The 8464-nt window shown below is 44.9% G+C and overlaps 1 long non-coding RNA gene across 1 annotated transcript; it reads right to left on the minus strand.

The window, feature by feature from the left end:
• Positions 1-5321: 5321 nt before the first annotated feature.
• On the minus strand, positions 5322-6959 carry LOC124900934 (uncharacterized). Its single transcript, XR_007058680.1, has 2 exons — positions 6647-6959; positions 5322-6173 (listed from the first exon to the last, which is right to left on the minus strand). It is a non-coding gene; the product is annotated as an uncharacterized LOC124900934 (long non-coding RNA).
• Between the last annotated feature and the right edge of the window lie 1505 nt (positions 6960-8464).

Below are 8464 nucleotides of genomic sequence, written 5' to 3' on the forward strand. Positions count from 1 at the left end.
TCAGGGCAAATATGTGAGTAAGGGTATAGACTTCCCACTCAAGCCCAGTGACATGAAAGAAGCTGCCATTCCACTGAGTGGGAGGAACACCGTGGAGAAGAGGTGGGAACCAAAGGAGATTAGAGAACAATGTCCAGGAAAGGTCTTTAAATGTGGTTACTGATGTATGAAATTGACTGGAAGCAAATAGATCAGAAGTCACTAAGATTTTGAGACAACTGCACTGCCAAAAAATACCATAACCCTGGACCAAAAAGTTCTTTGACTATTGGAGACTTAAAAAACAATCTTTGAGTACCCAGTCTTTCCTGAACAGAAAGTGACTTCCAAAAGCTGCACTGCCCCAAGCCAAACACATTGGCCAACATCTATTCTTAGGTGACTGTGGATAATAATGTGGAAAGAAGAGCCCCCAGAGGGTGAATTCTGAAGACACAAGAACAGGATCTAATCAGAATTTTCCCAGCATTAAGAACAGGGAAACATCACCATGCAACATCTACAGGACTCAAGTACAACTGTGGGCTAGAGATGGACATGAGATTTCCATTCCAAAGGGAAGAATTACACACAGTTCTGTTCTTGAACCATCACTGTCTATCGGAAAGCAGGGTGGCAGATAGCACATCACTCAGATCATAGGCGCTCAGACCAACAGGAGCAGGAGCAGTTCAGTTTCTGGTGGAGAGTCCTGAATGGCTCAGGTATCCTGGGCTCCAACTACATACCATGACTGGGTGGGCACCTCTGCTCTCTCCCTTGGGCAGAGGGGGAGCAAGTTTTATCATATGGGAAGAGAAGCAAAACAATTGGTGACCAGAATGGTGGATAACTCTGCCTTCATTAAACTGTTCATTTTCCTCCCAGGCTCCAGAAGACCACATTCCCCAATCCTGTTGCATATGGATGAAGCCATGTGATTGACTTTGAGCAATGTCATATGGGTATTACAGCTGCTGGCGCCTTGCTAGGGCAAACAGGCAGGAAGATTGGTCCTCTTTGCTTTCTCTCTTTCTTCTGGAAAGAGACACTTTTCTCCTCTGGCCTTTGGACATCAGACTCCAGGTTCTCCAGCTTTTGGACTCTGAACCTGGCACCAGCAGCCTGCTGGGAGCTCTTAGGGCTCAATGGGGACTGCACTGTCAGCCTCCCTGGTTCTGAGTCTTTGGACTTGGACTGAGCCACTGGCTTCTCTGGTTTTTCAGCTTGTAGTTGGACTATCATGGGACTTTGACTCTGTGATTATGTGAGCCAGTTCCCCCTAAAAAAAATCCCTTTTCATATATCCTGCTGGCTCTATCTCTCTGGGGGAACCCTGACTAAAATAGCCACTGAGACTTGGGAGTTATTATAGCTTCTAACATTACTTGCATGAATAGCATAGTATTGAATAATGATTGTGAGTTCACAAAGTAGACAAGGGGGAAGGAAGAAAAGTATTTCAGGTAAGAAAGGACAACAATGCTCAAACATATTTATTAGAGGGGGTTCAGGATAGTTTCTGGATGGCTGCAGGACTTGGTGATTCCAAAGGCCATGTGCAAAAGAGGAGGAAAGGACAGCAGGACCACATAATAAGGAGTCCTTATGTCCCGATGGCAAGTTGAAGATGTTATTCTGCAAGTGATATGGAAGCATGGATGTTAGGCCAGAAATACTATGACATAATGTTGTATTTAAAAATACTTCCCAGAACCCAAATGAAGAGGCATTCTAAAATACCTAACCAGTGTTCTTCAACTATGTCAAGGTCATGAAAGACAAGAAAAGAATGAGGAACTATCACAGCCTGGAGAGGACTAGGGAGACAAGACAGCTAAACAAAATGTGGGATCCTGTATCATACCCTGGGGTAGAAAAATGACATTAATGGAAAAGCTGTCAAAACTTCAATAAGATCTGCAATTTAGTTAAAAGGGCAGTACCCTTGTCGATTTCCTGATTTGATAATTGCCCTAGGGATTTATGGGAACTCTGTACTATTTTGAAACTTTTCTCTGATCATCTAAAACTATTACAAAATAAAAATAAAACAATAAAAAAATAAAATGCAAAGCATGGGATCCAACTGAAAATCTAAATAGCTATCAGGGAACTCCACCAAAAGACCCCCGGCAAGAGATGAGGAGAAGGACCTGGTAAGACGAATAGGGAGATGAAGGTGACCAAGAGGATCCTAGCCATCAAGGGACCACACAGGTTGTTAGGGCAAAGCCTCCAACTCCAGGGCACCCAGATGTCCACGCACACATAGAGGGCATGAGTCAGACTCAAGCAAGTGGCAGGGGTGACTTGACACTCAGGCTCAGAGATTGGGCTGGTGCTTCTCCCATCCTTTATGTGTTCAGTCCAGAATCATCCTTGGAGCTGAGCCATGGCTAAATCCAGAGATGGAGAGGTAAGTACTTACAGTGAGGTAAGTAGGAAAAAAGAGGCTGTCTCTGCCCACAAAAAGATTGAGATGGTCAACACTCAGAATTCTGAACACCTGGAACCTGGTTCTATGAAGCTGTCATGCGCTGGGGAGCCTGAGGGAGACAGATGCACAAGCTTGAGTACAGGACACTTTATGAGCAGCTGGAGTTTTGATCCCAAACCTGTGTGCATAGGGCCCAGCATCGTGTCGCTTTCTTTCCCTCAGCTCATCCCTGCTTCATTCATTCAGAAATTATTCACAAGCCCCCTCTGTGTCTGGGTCTGTGCTAGGTTCTGAGAATCTCAGAGTGAGCTGAGCAGACATACCTCTGTGTTGACGGATCTTGGAGTCCAAGGGGGAAGACAGTACTGTTACTGAACTACTAGGTATACAACTAAAGACCCTGCAATGCTGCCACGTATTTATTCTGTCAGTCTTTCTCCAAGCACTCTCCAAAGGACCAGTGTCCATTCAGTAGGACAAATGTGCAGTGGAGAAAAGGAAATTCTCAGAATTTGGAGAATTGCTAGATGATGGCTCTGAATTGATGCTAATTTGTGGGAATAATGATAACAGTGAGCTTCACTAGTGAAAGGGAAGGCTTATGTTGTTTAAATGATAAATGGAGTTTTTGCCTAAGCTCCACAGTGGGTCCAGTTGGCCATGGGTCCACTTTGCTGTTATTTTCCAGTGCCTGCCAAGATTAGGTGGAATACATGCCATCAGAAATGGAAAGACTACACACGTTGCTTCTCTGATGCTTGGAATAAGAGCTAGTATGGGAGGAAACAGCAGGTAGAATTCCTGGAACTTTTCCTTCCTTCTAGGACAATAAACCCAAAGTAATACCATATTCCTGAGTAGACTGCAGAGATTGGCATGACCCTCAAAGATATAAGAATGGTGGCACTGGCAGTATTTCTGCAGTAAACTTTGACCAGGTTACTCTCTTTGAGTAACTTGAAAGACTATTACGTCCCCATTTAGCTTACCTATTCAGCTTTTTCAGAAGGTATGGGCTGTGGATTACCATAAATTTAATTAGGCAGTGAATCCAAAAGCAGCTGCTCTTCCACGTTTATTGGAAAATATTATCACAGCTCCTGGTATTTGATAGGCAGCTATTGATCTGACAAATGCTTTCAATTTCTTTTCCAATTTGCAAGTACTGTATGCAAAGGGGTTTGCGCTTACCCAGCAGGGCCAACAATACACCTTCACAGTCCCGCCTCAGAGTCGTGTTCACCTTTTTTCACTCTGCCATAACCTAGGCTGTGGGGAACTTGATTACTCTGACATCCTGGAAAATGTTATACCAACCCTCTATATGGCTGGAATTATGCAGGTTGAATTCGATGATCAGGAAGGAACTTTCGATACTATATTAGCTCAGGCTGCAATAACAAAATCACACACTGGGTAGCTGACACAACTGAAATGTATTTTCTCACAGTTCTGGAGGCTGGGGGTCCAAGATCAAGGTTCCAGCAGGGTTGGTTTCTGGTGAGGTCTCTCTTCCTGGCCTGTGTATGGCACCTTCTCACTGCATCCTCACCATAGCCTTTCCTCTGTGTGCTCAGAGAAAGAGTGGGGTCTGGTGTCTTCTCCTCTTCCTGAAGGACACCAGTCCTATTAGATGAGGGCCCCACCTTCATGGCCTTGTTTAACCCTGAGGGCCTCCTTAATGCTTCCATCTGTAAATACAGTTACACTGGGTGCAGGGCTTCAATATAGGAACTTGGGCACACAGTTCCATCCATAACAGAGTTGGTGTGTGTGGTGGTGTGTGACTATATCTGTGGTGTATGTGTTTGTGTGTCACTATATGTGTGTGTATATGTGTGGTTTGTGTATGTATGTGTGTACATGTGCTGTGTATCTGTGTACCTGTGCAGTGTGTGCATCTGTATGTGTGGTGTGTATGTGGTATGTGTGTGTGGTGTGTGTGTGTGTGTGTGTATGTGTGTGTATGTGGTATGTATGTCTGTGTGGTGTATCTGTGTGGGGTGTGTGTGTATCTGTGCGTGGTGTGTGTGTATGTGCAGTGTGTATCGTGTGTGTGTGTGGGGGGTGTGTGTGTGTGTAGTCAACAAAAGCTGGCTACTACCACAGTGGGGAAATAAGCTTGTTTAACTTTCAACATGAAAAGTCCAAAATCAAGTAGCAAGTGGGTGGGAGCTACTGAAAGCCTAGAAGCCAAATTCAAGGGGTTGCTCAAATCCCTCACAGGAGCAGGGCAGCCTCAGAGGAGCAGGGGCCAAGCAGTGGAGCTACAGGGGTGCAGCTAGAGGAGTAGGGCAAGAAGGGTCAGGTTAGGGGTGGGGGTACAGGGATGGGGCTAGAGGAGTGGTGCTAGATGAGTGGGCTAGAGGATGGGGCCAGAGTGGCTGGAGCTAGAGGGGTGGGTTTGGGGTGGGGTTAGACAAGTGAGGCTAGAAGTGTGGGGTTAGAGCAGTGGGACTACAGAGGTGGAGCTAGAGCGGTGGGGCCAGAGGGGCGGGGCTAGAGGGGCGGGGCTAGAGAGGTGGAGATAGAAGGGCGGGACTAGAGGAATTGGGCTAGAGGGTCGGGGCTAGAGGGGTGACGCTAGGGCTCAGACTCCAGGACAGACAGAAGTGACGGGGATCGACAGGCTCTGGGAAGTCTCGTGCCTCGTCTGCCTCCCATGGCTGGCTCTGCTGCGCTGCTGGTGATTTGTGAAAGTGAAGATTTTACTTTGAAGTGCAAAAGCTGTTCCATTTGTTGGTCATAAAGACATTTTTAGGCAAGTAAGTAAATAATTAATGAAATGTTTTGTTTTAATTTTTTAAGAGAATGATTCTATGCCTTACATTTGTATAAAGCAGTGAAAAACAACACCCTATCCCCCCCTTAAGAACCAATTCAAATAAAATACAAATGTTTATGCAGTTCACATTTTTATTCATAATGAAAATGCTTTATTAAGTCACATGGGAATAAAACGTAGATTCTTACAGATTAGATGACTTATTCAATGAATACAAGAGCATCATTGTCAAAATAAGCCGTGCAATGTTCCTTGTCTAGGGCAAATGAAAAGTTACTGCAGAAAAGCAGGTTTCCAATTTTTTGCCCTGTTGTGTTGCACAGCGTGTCATACACTATCCAGTGTGTGCTGTGTTCAGAAGTCGACACCCAGCACTGTCTTGAATGTTATGAGTCTATATTTCAACAAATAAAACTTACTAGAAATTAAGACAAATAAATTTTATACTCTAGTCAAAACTTAGTAATTTATTCTGTAATGTACATAGTAATATAGCTTTTCTGTAACTGGCACAGAATAGCTTCACATTTCATACTTGATGTTGGTAATAAGTAATTATTTTATTTGAGATAAGTTGGTACACTGTGTTCTTTCCTTTCCTTCTACCTTTTGGACACAGAGCAGATGTCACTGGAGCTTTTGGCTTGGACTGTGGCTAGCTCCAGGCTGCCCACCTTGGGTTTGTCATTAACCCTGCACAGCGGTAAGCTTGCCTTGAGGCCTCAGTTCAGTGCACTCGATAAATGGTTATTTGCACCATATGCTGGGCACGTGTGGCCTAAGCACAGAAAGGCTCTGTGCGCTTGCGGAGAGCGGCCAGGCAGGCAGGCAGGTCCTGTGGCTCCTCATAGGTGGAGGTAGATGTGTGGGATGTGAGGTACCCACTCACAGCGGGTCTCACTTGCTTCTCTTGATTCTGCCTCGATTCACTCTCACAGAGGAGATTTATCCCCAGGTATTAGATCCCCTCTACAATAACAACAGCAGGATATTAATTTTCCCTGCAAAATGACACTATTCTGTAAAACAAGTAGTAATCAGATGTTTCATATGCATAGACAATGTAAAGTTAAATGTGATATATTAATACTGTTGTATATCAATAAGTTTCTATAAATAATCAAATCATAACATGTAGCTAAGTAACATTAATTACACATTAGTGATTTGATTTCATCTCAGATTCTTGAGACATAAGAAAAACAAAAATGACAGAAATTTCCCAATTGACTTCATTCAATTGATTGATACAGAAAGTCAACCAGATACCTCTATCAAAAAGCTTATACTTTATATGGGTGTGTTCATCTATTCCTAATGCAGGTGTTTTGATACCTGTATTATATTTTAAATATGTACATGTATCAGTCAGAGTTTTCCAGAGAGATAGAACCGATAGAATGGATAGATGGATAGATAAATATATTTATTTTAAGCATTACCTCACTGAGCTGTGGGGGCTGGCAAGTCTGGAATCTACAGGCCAGCAGGCTAGAAACCCAGGCGGGAGATGGTGCTGCCATCCTGAGGCAGAATTTCTTCTCTGGGAAACTTCAGTTTTTGCTCCTGTGACCTTCAACTGATTGGATGAGGCCCACCACATTATCCGGGGTAATCTCCTTTACTGACATCTACAGAATACCTTCACAGCAACACCTACATTAGTGTTTGACCAAACAAAGAGGCACTGTGTCCTAGCCAAGTTGACACCTAAAATTTACCATCACAGTAACCTTTACAAGTTAGCGTCCTACCCTTTTCAGAAGACTTGGAACTGGAAAATATCACGACATACACAAAAAATTACTAATTTCAATGGAGAGTAATTCATAGAAAGGGTTTAAGACCCTCCTGGTTTGAGGCCAGCCTGGCCAACATGGTGAAATGCCGTCTCTACTAAAAATACAATAATTAGCCGGGCGTGGTGGCTCGCGCTTGTAATACCAGCTACTCAGGAGGCTGAGGCAGGAGAATCACTTGAACCGGGGAGGCGGAGGTTGCAGTGAGCCGAGATTGTGCCACTGCACTCCAGCCTGGGCGACAGAGCAAGACTCCATCTCAAAAAGACCCTCTGGGGCAGGCAGAGACATAGACACTGTGCAGAGGCTGTTGCAGGTGGTCCTGGGGAAGCAGATGTGCTTCTTCCCGCAGAGCAGACAGTGTGGGATGCACAGCCGGTGCCTGCTCCACTGTGTTCAGAGCATGACTCCAGGGCCAGGTGAACCCCCAGGGCCAGGTGAACCCCACGGGTTCTTGGGTTTCCACCTGTGCCATGTGTTGGGGTGGGATAGGAGAGAAGCTAGAAGCTGACAGTTCAGATGCTCATGTTCCTGTCTCCAGGCCCCTGTGCCTGTGCTGCCCCTCCTTTCAAGGTGGATTCACTCCATCTTTGTGCATGCCACTCCTGCTGTGGGCCCTGGAGATGCGAGGATGAGGAAACTGTGGGTTCTACTCCAACAGAGCCCACAGTCTGAAGGGGGTGGCTGCCAGGAAAACCTTGACTGAGGGTGGAGGGGTGATTGTGGAGATACATTAGCCTGGAGGGAGGGCATTGGCAGCTCTGAGGTTGGCTTTCGGGGAGGAAGGAATGACCTTCCCACACTCCAGGAAAGTCAGGGAAGGCTTCTGGGAGGAGGTGACCCTTGGGCAATTTTGAGAATCCTTCAACAACTCCATAAATAAAGATCAAACCACACATGTCTCAAGGCTATTTGTGACAGTTTTGAACTGTTGCAAGTAGTCTCAGGAAAGACAAGTACTGATCCTGAAGACTTTTTCTATAGCATAGATTATAAAAACATGAATTTCTAACCCTGGCTGCTCACCCTTCTCCCCATTCTTGTGTTTCTGACGGGGTCATCAGAAATTATCTCCTGGGGTACCATAAAAACCTCTCCAAAACAAACACATTTAATATGTAGTGTGATAAAGCAGCTTAAAGTTGAGCATGTTAGAGGAAAGTCACTAAAACTCAAACAGGTAACAATGGCATTTCCCATTTCCTAAAGGGATGAAATTCCCATCGCAAGTGTGAAGCAGGTCAGATGGCTGCCATGTGTGCCTTTGAAAAATCAGTCAAGATGTGTTCAGGAACCAGAAAACTGACTAACCCAACAGGAGTATTTTTGAGTGTACATTTACTGTCTGAGCCCTTATATCTGAAGGAAATTAACTGCCTCACCACCACGCTACAGTTATTTATGGAACCACTTGCTGGGTAGGCAGTGGAAGCCCCTATTGATGGGCAACTCCTAGATGAG

Source organism: Homo sapiens, chromosome 5 (assembly GCF_000001405.40).
Source record: "Homo sapiens chromosome 5, GRCh38.p14 Primary Assembly".
Taxonomy (NCBI): domain Eukaryota; kingdom Metazoa; phylum Chordata; class Mammalia; order Primates; family Hominidae; genus Homo; species Homo sapiens.